The sequence below is a fragment of the Homo sapiens genome, chromosome 14 (assembly GCF_000001405.40).
Source record: "Homo sapiens chromosome 14, GRCh38.p14 Primary Assembly".
NCBI classification, from domain to species: Eukaryota; Metazoa; Chordata; class Mammalia; order Primates; family Hominidae; genus Homo; species Homo sapiens.
The window spans coordinates 61,452,873-61,472,437 of NC_000014.9; the positions used below are offsets into that span (position 1 = coordinate 61,452,873).

General features: G+C 44.1%; 1 protein-coding gene across 8 annotated transcripts in view, besides 7 other annotated features; it reads left to right on the plus strand.

Annotated features, from left to right (window-relative positions):
* The window catches only part of PRKCH (protein kinase C eta), a 363,509-nt gene that overhangs the window by 265,405 nt on the left and 78,539 nt on the right, over positions 1 to 19,565 (plus strand). For all 8 annotated transcript variants that reach the window (XM_024449661.2, NM_006255.5, XM_011536957.2 and 5 more), the window contains exons 7-9: positions 354 to 481; positions 4,304 to 4,447; positions 4,634 to 4,807. In XM_024449661.2, the coding sequence (XP_024305429.1) occupies positions 354 to 481; positions 4,304 to 4,447; positions 4,634 to 4,807 (446 nt within the window). The remainder of the gene's footprint in view (positions 1 to 353; positions 482 to 4,303; positions 4,448 to 4,633; positions 4,808 to 19,565) is intronic.
* Positions 1,892 to 2,061: an enhancer, noted in NCBI's record as "experimental_34674 CRE fragment used in MPRA reporter constructs". NCBI's record gives its function as "activates a minimal promoter by MPRAs in K562 erythroleukemia cells, with activity observed for both the introgressed and non-introgressed 14:61921567 variant alleles {active_cell/tissue: K562}" and the evidence as "EXISTENCE:reporter gene assay evidence [ECO:0000049][PMID:34662402]".
* Positions 4,566 to 4,735: an enhancer, noted in NCBI's record as "experimental_34691 CRE fragment used in MPRA reporter constructs". NCBI's record gives its function as "activates a minimal promoter by MPRAs in K562 erythroleukemia cells, with activity observed for both the introgressed and non-introgressed 14:61924241 variant alleles {active_cell/tissue: K562}" and the evidence as "EXISTENCE:reporter gene assay evidence [ECO:0000049][PMID:34662402]".
* Positions 5,029 to 5,198: an enhancer, noted in NCBI's record as "experimental_34693 CRE fragment used in MPRA reporter constructs". NCBI's record gives its function as "activates a minimal promoter by MPRAs in K562 erythroleukemia cells, with activity observed for the introgressed 14:61924704 variant allele {active_cell/tissue: K562}" and the evidence as "EXISTENCE:reporter gene assay evidence [ECO:0000049][PMID:34662402]".
* Positions 5,029 to 5,229: a biological region, named in NCBI's record as "Neanderthal introgressed variant-containing enhancers experimental_34693 and experimental_34700".
* Positions 5,060 to 5,229: an enhancer, noted in NCBI's record as "experimental_34700 CRE fragment used in MPRA reporter constructs". NCBI's record gives its function as "activates a minimal promoter by MPRAs in K562 erythroleukemia cells, with activity observed for both the introgressed and non-introgressed 14:61924735 variant alleles {active_cell/tissue: K562}" and the evidence as "EXISTENCE:reporter gene assay evidence [ECO:0000049][PMID:34662402]".
* Positions 8,479 to 8,773: a silencer, noted in NCBI's record as "tiled region #10871; K562 Repressive non-DNase unmatched - State 7:EnhWF". NCBI's record gives its function as "represses a minimal TATA promoter and a strong SV40 promoter by Sharpr-MPRA in K562 cells {active_cell/tissue: K562}" and the evidence as "EXISTENCE:reporter gene assay evidence [ECO:0000049][PMID:27701403]".
* Positions 13,212 to 14,128: an enhancer, noted in NCBI's record as "OCT4-NANOG-H3K27ac hESC enhancer chr14:61932802-61933718 (GRCh37/hg19 assembly coordinates)". NCBI's record gives its function as "activates a minimal SCP1, AML or CMV promoter by ChIP-STARR-seq in primed H9 embryonic stem cells {active_cell/tissue: H9 hESC(primed)}" and the evidence as "EXISTENCE:reporter gene assay evidence [ECO:0000049][PMID:30033119]".

A 19,565-nucleotide genomic window follows, 5' to 3' on the forward strand; every position in this document is an offset into this window, starting at 1 on the left:
TAATTGCCTGTGAATTGCCGCTACGATAAAGGTTTTAATCTTAGATCATACTAAGGCAGCAATGCCTGTTACATGTGATTTAGATGAATGGGTTTCATCAAATCATGGTGGAAAAAATGTATTTGAAATATATTATTCTTTAGTATGCTTGCCTTTCTGCTTCTGCAGAAAACAGAAATAGATAAAATGTCAGGAACTATTACTAGTGTGAGCTTAATTTTATGAGAAAATGATACTGTTCAGCCGGTATAATTCCTCTGTTATAATCTTTTAGGCTATTAAAGTTCTCTGTTGCAGCACATGTTGAATTGGTTCCTTTCTGAACATGGATTCTGTTTTCCTTTTCCCTCTAGTATGTAAAATGAATGTGCATATTCGATGTCAAGCGAACGTGGCCCCTAACTGTGGGGTAAATGCGGTGGAACTTGCCAAGACCCTGGCAGGGATGGGTCTCCAACCCGGAAATATTTCTCCAACCTCGGTGAGACTTTGCTTTTTTTCCATGTCTCGTAATTTAGAAGTTGCTCAGATGTGATGAGCCCAAATGAGAGCATGTGGCCTCATCAAAGTTCCTAATCTTAGCAAATACAATAAACAGACTTATTGCCTTTCTTTCTTTCTTTCTCTTTCTTTCTTTCTTTTTTCTTTTCTTTCTTTCTCTTTCTTTCTTTCTTCCTTTCTTTCTTTCTCTCTTTCTCCCTTTTTTTTCTCTCTCTCTCCTCTCCTTTCCTCTCCTTTCCTTTTTCCTTCCTTCCTCCCTTCCCCTTCCCCTTCCCCTTCCCTGTCTTCATTCCTTTTTGAGATGGGGTCTTCCTCTGTCACCCAGGCTGGAGTGCAGTGGCACAATTATGGTTCTCTGCAGACTCGACTGCCTAGGCTCAAGTGATCCTCCTACCTCAGTCTCCCAAGTAGGTGGGACTGCAGGTGTGCACCACTATGTCAGGGTAATTTTTTATTTTTTTTTTTGTAGAGATGGAGTCTCACTTTGTTGCGCAGGCTGGTCTCAAACTCCTGGGCTCAAGCGATCCTCTCGCTTTGGCCTCCCAAAGTGTTGGGATTGCACAGGTGTGAGCCACTGTGTCTGGCTGAAATAGCATTTTTAATAGCAATTTGTTTCACGGATAAGATTGTATATACAGTTATATGACAAGAAATAATGAGCATGAGCAACAAGTAATAAACAGAAAGCAAAAGAAGGACTTTTTTCCTTTCTTTCCTTTTTTTTTTCTTTTTTCTTTTTTCTATTTGTTTTTTGAGACAGAGTCTCGCTTTGTCACCCAGCCTGGAGTGCAGTGATATTCGCTCACTGCAACCTCCACCTCCCAGGTTCAAGCAATTCTCCTGCCTCAGCCTCCCGAGCAGCTGGAATTACAGGTGCCCACTACCGCGCCTGGCTGATTTTTGTATTTTTAGTAAGACGGAGTTTCTCCATGTTGGCCAGGCTGGTCTCAAACTTCTGATCTCAAGTGATCTGCCCACCTTGGCTTCCCAAAGTGCTGGAATTACAGGCATGAGCTGCCACGCCCAGCCTTTCTTTTCTGTTTTAAAATCAGCTTCCTGTCACTGTGGTCTGGTGAAAGCCTAAAACCCAGGATCCTGGGTTATGCTTTTGTCTGGGGACCAGGCAGGACAGGTGACCAGTAACTATGGGCGTCAGCGTCCTCACCTCTAAAGCGGTTCAACTTGAAGATCTCAGAGGCTCTGCACAGCCCTGGAGTCCAGCAGTTCTGAAGTTTTGGTTTATGGATTGTGAATTTATCATTCACATTCAGCAGGAGACAGGAGTCTCTCCCTCTGGACTCTCAGGAGTGAGTGGAGTTGTGTCAGTTGCAGTGCACATGTTTTTGTCAGCACTCTCCCTGAATGACCTCCACCTGCTGTCATCCAGTTGAGCCTTGGCTGCTTCCCAAGCCCATGTCTTACTGTTGCCTTCCTGGTCAGCGTCTAGAGATGGGAAATAGCCATGTAAGATCTGAACGGTGTAGCTTGGTGTCCAGTTCAGGAAAATTATCGACTCAACTAATTAATCTCTGGGTGCTGAGGAAGGGAAGTGCAATTACTGTGAGATTCTTGATAATCCTGAAAATGTCAGCACCAACCACCTCATTTCCTTTTTACTGAAGGACTCCTGCCTAGTAGATCAGGGACTTTCATTGACAATTTTTTTTTTTTTTTGAGACGGAGTCTGGCTCTGTCGCCCAGGCTGGAGTGCAGTGGCACAATCTCAGCTCACTGCAAGCTCCGCCTCCCTGGTTCACGCCATTCTCCTGCCTCAGCCTTCCGAGTAGCTGGGACTATAGGCACCCGCCACCACGCCCAGCTAATTTTTTGTATTTTTTTTTTTTTTAGTAGAGATGGGGGGTTTCAACGTGTTACCCAGGATGGTCTCGATCTCCTGACCTTGTCATCCTCCCGTCTCGGCCTCCCAACGTGCTGGGATTACAGGCTTGAGCCACCGCGCCTGGCCTATTGACAATTTATTGAATTGCCACTACGATAAATGTTTTAATCCTTATATTAGATCATACTAAATCAGCAATGACTGTTACATGTGATTTAGATGAATGGGTTTCATCAAATCATGGTGAAAAAATGTATTTGAAACCTATTATGTAAAAAAATGTATTTGAAATCCGGTCTGTCTGTCTTGTGGGTAGGCGGGCAGGATGCCAATATTGTGCGGGGATTGCTAATGCATGGGACAGTTATCCCTGAAGAGCAGAGATTAAAGATATCAGCCTGAACTAGGGCTTCTGAGATACAATGGGAATAAGATAAGAATAGGAATAAAGATCATGCAGCACGATCTTTAGGAATGGACAGTGCACTTGTCATTTGAATCAAGTATCCTTAATCCATGACATCCGGTGCCTGGCTGGATGTTAGACTTTTGATCTGTTGTCTAGTGGTAGCTTATCTTATAAATGTCTCAAGGTGGGCCAGCTGCAAAAGTCACCTTGCCTTTAGGTAGCAACATCCTCAGGTACTCAGTAGGATGGAACTGGAAAGCCAACTGAGGCAGGCACACTTACCTTCCATTCATTGTGTTGAAACTAGAACTCTCATCATGCTGGTGAGAGTGTAGATTGGTCAGTCTTATTGTAGACGGTAAGTTGGCTGTGTATCAGAAGTCTTCAAAATTAGCACTTTGGCCCAAGGAATTCCATTTGCAGGAAGTTATCTTAAGAAACTGAATAATGATAATGACAATACAGCTTAAGTTTATTGAATGTGCCAGGCACCAATCTAAGTGCTTTACATGCATTTGTTCATTTAGGCCTCCTAATGACTCATGTGGCAGATGCTTTAACCTTCTCTTTGTCAGAAGAGGAAACTGAGGTAGGGAGAGGCTGGGTAGGTAACTTGCTCAGGGTCTTAGGTTAGCTTGCAGAGCTGTTATTGAATCCAGGCAGCTTGCTTGAGAGCTAGACCCTTAATTACTCTGTTTTGAAGATTTGCATGAAGTGTATTCACTCCAGTGTTATTCACTGTGGTGAAAAAGGGGAGATGCCTCATCCTTCTAATGGCAGGGGAATTAATACCTTGTGAGATATCCATGAAATGGATATTGAATAGCCGTTAGAACTCATATTCTTGAAAGAAATTTAAAGGCATGAAAAATACCCAGGACAAATTTTTGAATACAAATGTATGTTATGAAACCATAATTTGATTATGTTTTTAAAAATTAACCAAGTATAAAAACGTGTGCGTGTGTGTTATTTATACATGGATATAGATATCTTTGGCAGAGGGCTGGTGAGATTTTAGGTATTTAGATTTTTATTCTTCATGCTTTTGATCATTGTTCTAATATTCACATTGGACTTTTATTTCTCCTATATAATTTAAAATATTGATTAAAAAACGTTGCTTCATTCGTGTCCTGGTGCTGAATGATGCTTGAATCTCTGAGTAGACATGAGAACTGCTCTCTGTAAAAAGTGGACACTAGGTGGCGCTCGTGGAATGGGACCTTCCCGTGGAAAGCCACCGCAGAAGGCACCCAAGGGACCACACAAGGCATTGGTGTTTCCATGCACTTCCACTTGAGCGCTAACTGTAACTCCATGGCTTAGACGTATTTTTAATTGACCTTTTACACAAAGCAGTAAGCACAGATTCAGAAGCTGATACTGAGGGAGTTTCGAGTGGCAGAACCGATCATCTGTCAAACTGAGTTGATCTTTCCCCCACGTTATACTGGGGGTGAGACTGCTCCCAGCCAATAAGGTCTTCTTCGTGCATGGGTGCTCCATGCTTCTGCTGCAATTTCTGACTTAATGTGTTCTTACTCTTTCAGAAACTCGTTTCCAGATCGACCCTAAGACGACAGGGAAAGGAGAGCAGCAAAGAAGGAAATGGGATTGGGGTTAATTCTTCCAACCGACTTGGTATCGACAACTTTGAGTTCATCCGAGTGTTGGGGAAGGGGAGTTTTGGGAAGGTGAGTCTTGGCTTTAACTGTTTGGGTTGAAGTAAGTGTGCTCTGTGTATGGGGGGTGTGTGTGTGTGTGCACGCATGCGCACATACTCACATTTCTCATGTGCCATTCTTTCTTCCTGTTGTGTGCACACACCCTAAGACCCCCAAGAGGACTCCCTCATGCTCCCTCCTTTTGCTTTGCCATAGGTGATGCTTGCAAGAGTAAAAGAAACAGGAGACCTCTATGCTGTGAAGGTGCTGAAGAAGGACGTGATTCTGCAGGATGATGATGTGGAATGCACCATGACCGAGAAAAGGATCCTGTCTCTGGCCCGCAATCACCCCTTCCTCACTCAGTTGTTCTGCTGCTTTCAGACCCCCGTAAGTATGAATCACATTCACTGCACCAACAGCCTCTTTTCTTACAGAGCTGAGACAGTAAGATACTGGAGATTTCATAAAGTTGAGTATCAGAAATTTTGGGGGATGGGCTCCCAAGGCAGGGTCATATGGAGGTATTGGTGACTTCTGCCAACCTCTGGAGGAAAAATGGAAGCTTATGAATTCACCCCTTCCCCTTGTGCTGTCCTGGGGAAGGAGCACCGTGAGGGTTGTGTGTCCCAGGATTGAAAAGGTCATCATACATAAATCTTCTGTAGGTGAAGTGAAGGTGAATGAAAGTTACAGCAGTCTAAGAACAGAGAAAATGCCATGGGCTCATTGTCTTGATGAATTTGGCTGTGACTCTGCTCCTAAATGCTGGGCTGGTTCTGACCTGGGCACAGGAGTTTAGAAGAGGGGTCTGAGAGGACCCAGAGAGGTACCTTGATTTGGAACATCCCAGGGCATTGCTTCTGGCCTTAGCAACGACCCTTTGCCTGAAACCATGGACTGGTCTTAAGAATTGAATCTGTCTGCCCTGTAATGGCGTGCGTTTAGGAATGCTTCTGGCTGCAGTTAATGGAACACTTGACCAGCGGTGGATTAAACAATAAATAGAAAGGATGAGTTTGGTTCATTAGTACAAACTTTTTACTTGTTGTTTCACATAATGAGAAGTCTGGTGGTAACAGTGCTACGGTTGGATTTGTTGCTCAGTGACATTGGACATGTCTTTCCCTTGGGGTCCCAAGGTATTTGCTGCAGCCCTAGATGCCACACCTTGGCATGATAGCATCCAAAGCAGAAAGCATAAGGGCAGGGGCTGAAGGGCTTCATGGCCAGTCCCCTTTTCTCAGGGAGGGAAGATCTTTCCTAGACTTGGGTCAACTGCCCTGTATGTCTGTTCTCACATTGCTACAAAGAACTACCTGAGACGGGGTAATTTATGAAGAAAAAATGTTTAATTGACTCACAGTTCCACAGGCCGTACAGGAGGCATGGCTGGGGAGGCCTCAAGAAACTTACAGTCATAGCGGAAGGGTGAAGGAGAAGCAAGCAGGGTTTCACGTGACAGCAGGAGAGAGAGAGAGTGAAGGGGGAAAAGCTACACACTTTCAAACAGCCAGATCTCATGAGAGCTCACTATCATGAGAAGATCAAGGGGGGAAATCTGCCTCATGATCCAATCACCTCCCACCAGGCCCTTCCCCAACATTAGAGATTCCAATTCAACATGAGATCTGGGTGGGGACACACAGCCAAACCATATCATGCCCTTAGCAAGGGAGGCTGGAAGAGCAAATATCAGGCCAAGATAAGCTGGCAGACCATGATTGGTTCACACCAACCTTGATTCAGCCCCTGGAGCAGGGCATTCTGCTTTTATTTAGAATCAGGCTCAAAATTGGGCTTTTGGTATCAATGAAGAGGGAAAATGGCCCTGGAGAAGGCACCAAGAGGGAGGGTCTGCCACAGATGTGTCAGAATCTTGCTGTCAAAAGGCATTCTGGGAGAGTGAATTCTGGGCATGTTCCTGGCCTGTGCCACCATCAAGGAAGTAGGGGATTCCACGAGAGCGGGATAGGGGCATCTGACTGGTCAGGGAGGCTGGCAATACACCTCTAGGGAAGGTAAAGCCATGCTGGGACCAAACGAGTGAATTAGAATTAGTTAGGCAGAGAATGAAGGTGAATATGTCATACAGGGTCAACAGCACACTATGGGTCTGCTGGTGAGACAGAGCATCAGGTGTGAAGGAGGCTCAGCACACACAGCATATCGAGGTTGAACAGGGGCCTTGAGAACTGAGGCAGCCGAGGTGGGCCAGGGCCAGGCCATGAAGAGCCTTGTAGGCTGTGTTAAGGGGTTTGGGTTTAGTCCTGAGAGCAATGGAAAGTCATGGAAGAAGTGGAAGCAGAGGAATGACGTATCAGGTTGTATGTTTTAATTATGAAAATCTAATTTCTTGCGATAGGTAATATAAGTATCCTCCAAATATTCATATCCTTTCTCCGAAAGAAACAAGTATTGCTCGTTTTATTTATAGCCTTTGAGAGAATTTTCTGTACATAAAAGCATATATATACAGCACATATATGCATACATGTTTATCTTTTAAAAACACAAATAATAGTATACTTTGCCCATGATTCTGTATTTTTAAAATTTAATTAATCTATTTTTTGAGACAGGGTCTCACTTTGTCACCAGGCTGGAGTGCAGTGACGGTTATGGCTCACTGCAGCCTCAAGCTCCCAGGCTAAAGCTATCCTCCCACCTCAGCCCCCTGAGAAACTGGGACTTACAGGCACATGCCACCACACCTGGCTAATTTTTGTTATTTTTTTGTAGAGATGGGGTTTTGCCATGTTTCCCAGGCTGGTCTCAAACTCCTGGGCTAAAGCAATCCACCCACCTCAGTCACTCAAAGTTCTGGGATTACAGGCGTGAGCCACTGTACCTGGCCACTTTATTTTTTTAAGACATAATATTAATAGTATATATTGGAAATTGTTTTGTATTTCTATATACCAAGCTGCCTCATTTTTAATGGCTGCATAGTACTCCATTTTAGAACATGACATAATTAATTTAACTTTTCCTCCTCTGTTGCTATGTATTGTGTTCCTAGTCTTTTATTTCAGTCATTGTTGCAGTGAGTCCCCTTGTACTTTTGTCTTTGTGTGCTTATGCTGGTGTTTCTGTATGACACATTATTAGTAGTAGTATTGCTTGGTCAAAGGGTATATGCATTTCACATTTTGATTGAGTTCAATTGCCCCCTCCCCCATTGTGGTTAAAGATAGTGAACGTTTTATTGTCCATGTACCACACATTGTTCTAAGTGCTTTATGTCTGTTATTTAATCCTTATAGTAACCCTCTGAAATAAGTTCTGTTATTATCACCCCATTTCACAGAGGAGAAAAGTTAGGTACAAAGAAGCTTAGTTCCTAAGTGGCAGAGAGCGTTTGAAGCCAGGTGGTCTGACGGCAGAGTCCAGGCAGGCTCTTCCTATTTGCTGGGCTGCGTCTCTAAATTCACACTCCCAAAGCTTGAGTGAGAAGGTGCATTTCCCCGCCTTCCCATCATGGCATGCTCTCTGTCATTTGGATCATCTCAGAGTTAGAAAAATGGTATATTTGAAGTTCCAACTTGCATTCCTCTAACTGTGAGTGAAGCTGGGCGTTTTCATACATTTCAGGGTCACTAGTATTCAAATCTGTGTTGGGAGGGCCACATGCAGCCTGGAGAATGGGTGGAGCAGAGAAGTCTGGGAGCTTGGTGACAGGACGCACTGAAGGAGATACATGGCTTGGACTCCCACGCCACCCCAGCGTTATCAAGAGAAAAAAAAATGGGGAGGCAGCTAATGGCTTCGTGGGCCTCGGCTCCCCTGCGCGCCTCTCCCTTCCCCTCTGCTCCTCATTGGTCCTCAGTGGCTCTTGATGGCCCTGGAGCCCATGCTGCTCCTGCCCCCATCCTCTGCTTTCCCTCTGCTGGATTGGTCCTTGGTTCCCCTGGAGCTCCAGTTCTCCCTGCCCCACACTGCTCCCTGGAGTAGCCTTGAAACGACTTCCTTGGCTGGGCACTTTGCCAACGTAAAGCCCCTCCCCTGCCCTCACCCCCTTGTTGGGCTCTTTTCTTGGAATAGAGGAGTGGAGTTACAGCTTGAGGCTTGAGAGGGATAGCTGGTAGCTGATACTGGTTGCCCGCCGGGGTTTCAAGCGCCAGCCTCCTGAACACCACCATGAACACCATGAGTCAAGCCGCAGAGCCAGGTGACCTCTCAGATCTTCTTCCTAGGGCCTGAGCCAAACATCACATGGTTTCCTATGACATGAGGTTAGATCATCTTCACCAGGTGGTAACCTTTGAGTCAAGCAGTCAACTGATATTTAGTGAGCTTACCTGGTCTTGCAGCAGCAATGGTTCCAAGTTACTACTGCTGAAGCAAAGAAAGAAGTATCTCATACCTAACAGGGGAATTTGATCTGTAAAAGGAAATTCTGGTGATTATAAGCAAAGATCTCATCAACAGATCATGTTATGGTAGAGTAAAATGAGGAAGTAACCTGGAACAGATTGGGAACCCAATCAATATAGCATATGCAATCAAAATGTTCCAGGAAAATGTATAAATTCTACAGTATACCAAAATTTTAGCGGCCACATGAGATTCCCAGTGTTTAGTGGGTGAAGCCTTTACTAGCATTGAAGTCTATTTTTCCTAGTGGAAGTTTTATGTTTGACCACAAGGTGGCAGTCATTACCGCAAAGTTACTTTTATTTCTCCACCAGAGAAACCAAAGGCATGGAACTGCCATTGCGGTTTAAGATGTGTGTGTTGTAGTAGATGTCTCCAAAGCAAAGGATAAAGGGAATGTACCCCTGCTTTAGGCTAAATGATAAAGAAGTAGTGGGAACCCACTTCAAAGAAGCAAGTGAGGCTGGGCGCAGGCAGCACTTTGGGAGGCCGAGGTGGGGCAATCACTTGAGCCTAAGTGTTTGAGACCAGCCTGGCCAACGTGGTGAAACCCCGTCTACTAAAAATACAAAAAGTAGCTTGGTGTGGTGGTGCATGCCTGCAATTCCACCTACTCCAGAGGCTGAGACAGGAGGATCGCTGGAACCCGGGAGGCAGAGGTTGCAGTGAGCCAAGATCGTGCCATTGCACTCCAACCTGGGTGACAGAGCACGACTTTTTCTCAAAAAAGAAAAGAAAAAAAAGCAGCAAAGGAGATTTTCTAATGCTGAGATAGAGGTATACAATTTTAGTTTTGCTGTCGTTGTTGCCTTCTTTGAGGTTTGCAAGGTATCGGACTCCACAGTACACATAGCATTTGCTCGCTGTGCATTCGTCTGTTGGAAGTCCTTATTTACTGTTGTAAAACTATCCCCATTTACTGTTGGAAAACTAACTATAAAGAACAGAAAGTGTTACTTGCTATGAGAAGTTACAGCAGAAAGATGCTTACTTTTTAGCTGCCCAGTGTTGCAGGCCCTGGCTTCTCAAGTAAGATGCTAATCAGTGTGTAATGCTGAACTGTGACAGTCTCCCCTGGAGAATTTAGGAGTGAGAGGGGGTGTTGGAGCCACTCTACCTGCAAAGCATTTCATTGTGAGGGCCTTTGTAAAAACAGCACTCTCCTCATGCAGCCCTGTGGAATCAGTCTCTCTGAAGCCCAGAGCAGGGCAGTAACTAGCCGAGGATCCCTTAGATTGTAAGTGGCAGAGACAAAGTTCAAGTTTAGGTCAGGCTGACTCTGACTCCATATGTTGTCTTATTCCGCATTTAGTTGGTTGATTCAGCCTCGGCTTAAGCACCTCCTATCTGTCTTGGCTCCCCTCCAACCTGACAATATGGAAATGGCATTGCCCTTGGGAACAGAAAACCTGAACTGTGTTTTAGCTTTGTTTTCCACCATCTAAATGGCTTGAGTCTGTCCTAAAATTCCTTTGACCCTTAAAGTTCTTATCATTAAAATGAAAACAGGATCGCTGTGAGGGTCAAATGAGAGAATGCAGAATATTTTGTACAGTGCGAAGTGCTGTTCAAAAGTGAGTCAGTTCAACTGTGGTGATGACCCCCTCCATCCTCACACCAAAGGAAAAATGTCCCAGGGCTTCCCAATGGCCAGCCCAGACACCCACATGGAGGGGACAGCAAACATTGAGAAGGTAAGTATTTTATAGGTCCTTTTGTTCTTGGCAAAAAGGAAATAGTAAGCAAATTTCAAATATTTGATAATTTATCAAGATTGCTACAAAGGTTTATGAACCCATAGATTATTTCCCCTTTTTTTTTATAATCATATACACTGCTTACAAGTATATAAATGGGCATCCTTATCTGTTTCTGATAGCACTGCAAATCCTAATAGTTTGTGACTAATTTGATAACCTGTACTAAAACTCACAAAATGTATACTCCTGGATCTGTTTTTCTGATAATCTGGACTACAAAAATAATATAAAGAATAAAATGTTATTCATAAAGATGTTTAATTTTCAGTGCTTTGTTTATATATATTTTTTTGGTCAACATCTCTCTAATCCTCCAGCCTCTGGTAACCACTATTCTATTCTGTTTCTATGAGTTTGGCTTTATTTGATTACACATATCAGTGAGATTAAGCTGCATTTGTCTTTCTGTGACTGGCTTATTTCAAATAATACAATGTCCTCCAGGTTGATCCATGTTGCAAATGACAGGATGTCTTTCTTTTTAAAAGCTGAACAGTATTCTATTGTGTATATATTCCGTTGTTTCTTTGTCCATTCATCCACTGGTGAACACTTAGGTTGATTCCATATCTTGGCTATTGTGAGTAATGCTGCAGTGAACATGAGAGTGCAGGCATCTTTTCGACATGCTGATTTCATTTTCTTTGGATGTATATCCAGTATTGGAATTGCTGGAGCATATGGTAGTTCTATTTTAATTTTTTGAGGAGCCTCCATACCGTTTTCCAAATGAGTATACTAATTTACATTCCCACCAACAGTGTACAAGGGTTCCCTTTTCTCCACATCCTCTTCAACACCTGTTATTTTTCATCTTTTCAATAATAGCTGTTCTGACAGGTATGACATAATATCTCATTGTGGTTTTAATCTGCATATCCCCAATGATTAGTGATATTGAGCATTTTTTCTATACCTGTTGGCCATTTGTGTGTGTGGTTTTGTTTTGTTTTTTTTTTTACTTTTCATTTATTTTTACTTTAAGTTCTGGGATACATGTGCTGAACTTGCAGGTTTGTTACATAGGTGTACATGTGCCATGGTGGTCTGCTGCACCTATCAACTGGTCATCCAGGTTTTAAGCCCCGAATGCATTAGGTATTTGTCCTAATGCTCTCCTTGCCCTTGCCCTCCCACCCAACAGGCTCTGGCATGTGATGTTCCCCTCCCTGTGTTCTCATTGTTCAACTTATGAGTGAGAACATGTGGTGTTTGATTTTCTGTTCCTGTGTTAGTTTGCTGAGAATGATGGTTTCCAGCTTCATCCATGTCCCTGCAAAGGACATGAGCTCATTCTTTTTTATGGCTGCATAGTATTCCATGGTGTATATGTGCTACATTTTCTTTATCCAGTCTGTCATTGATGGGCATTTGTGTTGGTTCCAAGTCTTTGGTATTGTAAATAGTGCTGCAATAAACATACATGTGCATGTGTCTTTATAGTAGAATGATTTATTAATCCTTTGGGTATATACCCAGTAATGGGATTGCTGGGTCAAATGGTATTTCTGGTTCTAGATCCTTGAGGAGTCGCCACATGGTTTTCCACAATGGTTGAACTAATTTACATTCCCACCACCTGTTGGCCATTTGTATGTCTTCTTTTGAGAAATGTCTATTCAGGTCCATTAACCATTTTAAAATTGGGTTGTTTCTTACTATTAAGTTGTTTGAGTTTCCTCTGTATTTGGATATTAACTCCTTATCCAGATATGTGTTTTACAAATATTTTCTCCCATTCCACAGGTTGTCTCTTCACTCTGTTGATTGCAGAAACTTTGCAGAAGCTTTTTAGTTTGATATAGTTCCATTTGTCTATTTTTGCTTTTGTTGCCTGTGCTTTTACGGTCATATTTTAAAAAGCCATTGCCTATGCCTGTGTCACAGATTTCTTCCCCTAAGTCATCATTTGGTAATTTTACAGTTTTAGGTCTTACATTTAAGTCTTTAGTCCATTTTTCAGTGATTTTTTTATGTGACGTGAGATGAGGGTCTGTTTTTATTCTTCTGCATGTAGATATCCAGTTTTTTCAACACCATTTATTGAAGGGACAGTCCTTTCTTTGTTGTGTGTCCTTGGGATCTTTGTTGATAATTAATTGATTGTAAAGGTGTGGATTTATTTCTGAGCTCTGTATTCTGTCCCATTGGTCTATATATCTGTTTTTATGCCAGTACCATAATGTTTTGATTACTGTAGCTTTGTAGTAGATTTTGAAATCAGGTAGTATAATGCCTCCAGCTTTGTTCTTTTTGGTCAAGATTGCTTTGATGTCGTGCATTATTTATAGTAGGAAAATATTAGAAACAACTTCAGCATTTAGCAATGGGGGTACACTTCAATAATATACTATTTGATGAGAATTTTCAGCCAGTCAAGAGATAATTTTATGTTACGTAGTTAAATTGTCAGGTACCGTCGTAAGCACCTAACATGTATTGTTTATTGCACGTGATTCCTATAACAGCCTTATAAGATAGGTGCAATTATTATCCTCATTATGTCAAATGGAAAAGTGAGACACTGAGCAGTTAAGTCATTTGCCTAAAATCTATCACAGAAAATGGTAAAAATAGGAGGTTAGAATCCAGGAAATAATACAGAGGTTATGATGATGAACAGTCTGTATCCAAGTCAGGTTCTGCCCAAGATAGTGAATTGGCAGACCCGTTCCCCTCCCCAGCCTCAAAAAAGACTGCCAGGAAATTATGCCAGTAAGCTATCAGGGACTGGATTAAGGTAGTGGAATTATGAAGGATTTTTTTCCTATTTACCAAATTTGGTAATAGGATTACATTTCTTCAACAATGGGGGTAGGAGGAATAAGCCATTATTAAGTCAGGGACCAGACCCCTGGTCTCTCAGAACCTGGGATACGGCCTAGTACATGCTGTCTCCCTGACTCATTTATGGCGAAATTCACATCACACTCCTTTTATCTGAATCAGTGAGGGTTGTGTCAGCAGCTGAGTCCCTGGCATGGATGTGCTGGAATCCAGGCCTCCCATCCCCCATCCCCGGCTCGCAGGGGCCTCCCCTTCGGTTCTCCTCCTGGAGAGAGAGGAACAAAGACTAGGGGGTGAGGGATGGAGGGGGGCTATCACAGGAAGGGGGAGCAGCAAAGTAAATATTGGTCTGAGGCTTTGTTCGGAGACCCAGTTTATGGAAGCAAAGGTTTCCATTTGGAAAACAGAAGACACTTGTGGCCAGTGCCCGAAACAGCCTCTCACTAGCAGGCCCTGGGACTGGGTGAGAGGGCTGAGCGAAGTACTCCTCATTGTTTTGGGAATGCCTTAAGTTTGAGTTTAGGATCCACCGCTTTCAGGTGGGCCACAGGACGCTCCGATGCCGGTCGCTTTTGCCTCCTCCCGCTCCTCTGCCTGCTGGGGCGTCTTTACGATGTCAGCCTGCAAGGATGGAGTTCCTGGCAGGACCATAGCTTTCCGTAAGAAACCACTTCTCAAATGGCCAACAAAGTTGAAATCCTGGTTTTTGAAGGTCAGAATATCTTGGAATCTTGTGAAATAAATGCCATCGCTGCATACATGCTGGCACAAAATGATCTCACGTGTGCTCAGTGTACCTGCAGCTTGAGTGCAAAGGAACATTCTTTCCTTTGTATTACTTTCTCCATTGTTGTTGTATTAAATATTAGCGAAGAAGTGGGAGAGGCAGAGAGCAGCCAGGCAGCAAGGTAGTCATGTGGCCCTGGAATTCATCTTTCAGAATTTTCCCAGGCAGGGAACTGCACTGTGACCTTCAGCACAAGAGCTCTGAGTTCTAATTCTGGCTTAGCTGGCCCACTTGTCTTTAAGAAGTTCCCCTGCCTTTTATTTTGAGATAAGCCTCTCCACCTAAATGTGTGTTCCTTACTTCTGGACCTGTTGGCCAACGTACCTTTAGGGAGTGCCCCTCCAGCTGGCTTCAACATGTGGGGTCGTAGCGGGGCTGCAGCCTGCCCTGTCCAGCTCTGATGCTTCCCAGCGCCTCCAGCTCCCCTTTCCCTTCCTGAGGCCTCACTGAGCATTTGGCTGAGCCCCTGCCAGCCGCTGGATGTGGGGAGGAGAAGGCATGCTCAGACCCTACAGTGGCATTACTGCTTGTGCTCTGTGTTGCTGTGACACCCAGCGCAAGGGGAAGAGGCCCTGTGACAGAGGGTTAGACAAGGAGAAGGGGAAGTATAGCCGAAAGGCTGGGAGACTTTCCCCTTTACAGGCATGGGAATTCTGAAGAAGCCTCTGTTCATGCCTTGGGGTAGTTGGTTGATTCCTGGGGACTGAATGGTGCCCACTTTGCAGGAGGGGATGAGCGAAGAAGGAAAGGGCAGTTCATGAGACCCTAGCATATGTCCTAGGTGCTCATATTCATTACCAATGTCTATGAAACTAAACTGCACATTGGCATTCCGTAAATATCCATTGAACAAAATATCTCATTTAATACCCAAAGCATCCAGGGAAGAGTATCATCCTCATTTTAAAGGCCTAGAAACTGAGATCCAGAGAAATTAAACAACTTGCCCCAGATCACACAGTAAGCCAGAGTCAGTGCATGGATTCCTGACCTGACTGTCCTGCCAAATAATATACAAGCCATTTCCATTATATCACAAATAGAAGTTTTGAGTCTCTAATATGTACAACTGAGAATACTGTCATTAGACGGGAATAGAGGCAGTTTTCCACAATAGGTGGTTTTTGGCCTTTTGGGAAATACCTAAGGATATTTCCTCTGATCTGTTTGGAACCAGGTTTCCCCCTTTCCCTGAGCAGTGGCTGCTACAAATACAATCTGGTTTGCTGCGGGTCATTTGTTGCAGTTTGCCTTTGGCTCAGATCAAAATAGAAAATGAGCCAGAACATGGTGTTTCCTGTCTCTGCATGTTCCTACCTTATTCATAGTGTTCCATCTTTTTTTTAGGTTATTAATTGTGGATTTATTTCCATAGTAAGACAGGATCTGACTTTGGGGCCAACATATGTTGGACCCGCCTCCTTCTCTGCTGAAGATTCTCTGAAGACAAAATGTGCATAGGCCTTCTCCAGGATCTGGATTTTTGGGGGATTATTTGGGACCTTTGCTTCTGTCCTCTCCGGCTACCAGGCTTTCTGACCTTCTGTAGCTAAATAGGGCCACAAAAATGAATAGGAATAAGAGAACCTGAAGTTCAAGCTGTGTCTTTGGCTCTGTCTCTTTGGACGCGACTGCCAAGATATTTGGTGTGACAAAAGGATTTGAAATAGTTGGCCTGTTTTTTTCAGTTTGAGGTTGTTCTGTTGTAACTGGTCTTGTTTTTGGTAGCCATCATTATCACTGACAACCTAGAGACTGAGTAGACCGCCACCTCCATGTCTGCTAAGATAGTATAATTTAAATCTTTGATGTAACCAGAACACAACCCAGGTCACACTTTGCCCCTGTGTCTCATGATGACTGAAAGCTTTTGGGGTGATGATTGCTTGGTTATGGTTTTCCTGGACCCAACTTGGAACCCTTAAAGCCTGCCAAGTTATAGATACTCTGGCTTCAGTAGGGCCCTGTATTGAAACACCAAGTGCCAGGACTGCTCAAAAGGTGAAAATGAGATGGGTGTTCTGCCAGGTGGTTTAGTGAAAAATCAGTCAATCCAGGATCCCACTGACTGAATGCTAGGCAAAAGAAACAGTTCTTTTATTTGTTTTCATTTTTTGCAGAGTTGGAGGTCTTGCTATGTTGCCCACACTGGTCTTGAACTCCTGACCTCAAGCAATCCTACTGCCTTGGCCTCCCAAAGTATTAGGATTACAGGCATGAGCCACCGTGCCTGGCTAGAAACAGTTTTTTAAAAACTCATTCTAATTAGGAAGAGAAGACCAATACACATGGAAGAAAAGTGTACAGTAGATAGCATGTAGTAAATATAGTCCTTATGCTACAAAAGGAAAGGTAGTTGAAAATGAACATTGGGTTCTAGGGGAAACTCTTAAGTATGTGCCAGTCTGTGCTCAGAAGTACAACCTGATTGGCTGTGAGACTAAAGCCAACTGATTGCTTTAAGCAGCCCCTCGGGTGTGGGCTGCAGATGGTTCCCTAGGAAGCTGGGTTGAGTCCTGCTGTGATGAGCTGGGACTGCCAGGTAGGACCTGAAGCGGCTGCCAAGGGGCTGCCACCCCACCCTGAAGACAAAATCATACAGTCTAAAAACCTGACTGCTTTGGATCAAAATCATACCCTGTAATATGTTCTAGTTTTTAAATAACTTGGGTTTTCCTTAATTACTTAATCTCTGCTGAGAACCCAGCTGCATCCATCTCTTCTAGGTCCGGAATTATCCACAGCATCTCATGAGCAGAAACAGCCATGTCAACATAAAGTTAGCAGACTCGTCGTGTAGAGAGTTGTGCACTGGCAGGTTAGGGGGGAAGGTGTTCATTCATTCAGCAGATATGCACTGAGTGCTTGCAAGGCATAGGGCTCGCCTTCAAGCCTTGAGGACGCAGCAGTGAGCAAAACAGAAAAGAGTCCCTGCCCTCATGAAACTGACATTCTTTGGGAAGCTTATAAGCCTGAAGCTCATGAACAGATTGTTCATCTTATAGTCTCAGCTGGTGACCCTCCATGGCAGCTGCTCCCTGTGGCAATTCCTGGATTTTCCTTTCAGACAGGCTCAGAGCCGTCATCTGCTTGAAGAGTCTGGGGGGCTTGTCTGAAGCTGCATTTGCATATCAAGTGCTCCGTTATATTTTTTGTAGGATGCAGTGAGATTACTGGGGGGAGGCGTAGCTCGAGTCCTTGGTCCTTGGTACTGTCTCTGGTTAGTGGTGGGTTCTGGGTCACTATTATAGGGGTTGGGAGGTTTAAAGCAAGAGGCAGAATGGCAAGAGTAGCAGCCCCAGTAGGCTGCATTTGCTCCCGTTGCCACTTGCACGATCTTTCTCATCCCGCTGGCAAGACTAGTCTGTTCACTGGCAGCCCCTGCATCAGGCTGTGAGGACGCCCTGTCTACCTCCCGTCTCCATCCCTGTATTAACCCATGTGCTATCAAGAGCGACTGACTCTTTCTTTACAAGGTTCTTTTTCCTTCCTTCCCCGTAAGCTAATAGTTTGGCTCAGGCTCGCCAGCAGACCCTCCCCTTTTTTGCTGGAGGGCTTTGGCATGCCCTGTCTTTTCTTTGGGGCCACCCAGGGAGTTCCTGTTTCCTTTCTGTGGGAGGCTTCCAATTCTTAGTTATAGCAAAAGAGCCTGTATTTTTTAGCTCACTCCTGCCCACTTCTGGTCTTGAATGACTTATGGCTTAGGTGTTACAAATGGGAGTCCTGGAACTCTTCCCAGAATCTCTTAATTCCATTCTTGTGGTATATGACGTTCTAAACATTAAAATGATGTAATATATAACTCCCAACCAAAACAAAAGAGGAGATCCCTGCTAGCCAAATTCTTCCCTCCTCTCCATACACGTTTTTCCGTCGCTGTGCAGTGAATCCTGGGATGTGTTTGTCAGTCAGCTTCCTTGTTCTTCTGGCTCCTCACTCCCCAGGGACCACCGAGCCACAGACTCCACGGTTTTCTCTGAGGGCATGCGAAGTGGAAACTAACCTATCCCTGCAGCCAGCCCAGACCTTCTACAATCATATCTACCAGTGGTGAAAGGCAGTTCAAGATGAGTTGGACACAATCAAGAAAAATAGGGAACAAATATGTCATAGCTCCTCTCTGTCTGCTGTCTATAGAAGGAGGCTAATAGCAGCAGATCTGGTGAGGGCCAGTGGCCCATGGACCTGCCTGCCCCAAGGCAGCAATCATGGGAGTGGGGTCAAGGAAACACTAAGGAGGTACACCTGATAGGACTTTTTAAAGAGGAGTGGCCAGGGTTCTGGCCGGTTTGAAGCCTGGAGAGAATGGAATGGCATGAGTTCAGTTTTGGGGACATTCAGTGGTAAGACTGGTTTCTGTTTTCTCTTCTGGAAGCTCATAGATACAGGATCTGCTCATTCACTTGATTTGTGCCTCTTATTTGGGCTTCAGGACACATCTCTGGCCAATCGCAATTAAAACACCATGCCCAGTTAGCCATCATCGCCACTCAGAGCTGTCTGCTTTACCGGGCTAAAAAAAATGATCTTTATCACCAGTTGTAAGTGACTTAAAAAAAAAAAGTACCCTTCCACATTGCTCAGAACTTTGCCGTCACCTTCTTGACCCTCACCAACAGGTCAGGTTGTTTTAATAATCTAGTGGCTGGTAAGCTTTCATCCTTTACAATTAAAAAAAAAATCACTGATTTGCATAATGCAGTGCCATTTGCCTACTTTGTTGGGGGTGGGGGCTGTCCTGTTCATTGTGGATGTTTAGCAGCATCCCAAAATACCAGCAGCACCTCTCCAGTTATAACAACCAAACATATCGCCAGACATTGGTTCCCAGGGGGGAAGAATCTCCCCTGGCTCCCTTACATGACTGTCAGGTGATTGTCTTTGGTATGAAAAGTCAAATGGGTTAGACGATCACTTTTCTTTTTATAGAAGCCAAAGCCAAATGTGTCAGACCTTCTTTATGAAAATATAAGCGTTATTTTTTTTCTGAGTTTGTAGAAAGGCAAAGTTCCTGTTGGGGGCTCATTACAGCTGTTGGTGCCTGCACTGACAGTGGCATTGTTAGGGATGGAGCCCCTGAGCTCGGGGGAGACAGCGGAAGCGTGCAGCGTCTGTTTAATGTGAGTGAGGGCTGGCATGCTGCTGGCAGCTCTCAACAGTGAAGCCTGCTGCTCGATAAGGCATTATTATCAGAGCCTGGGGGCATCCAGGGAGCAAAAGATTAGCTGACTGAGCATATATCTAAAATGGGTTATTTTTAAAAAGCAAGCAGTACAAATACTGCAGCTTGTCTTGTTTTAGCATTTAATAATTACACTTTCACTTTACCAGCAAGGCATTGAGTCAGTGGCATTTTATGAAAAGCATCCTCCCAAACCTGAACTTTGTGAGTCAGATTCCCATCCTGTGTGTGGTACATGTGGTTGGATTGTACAAA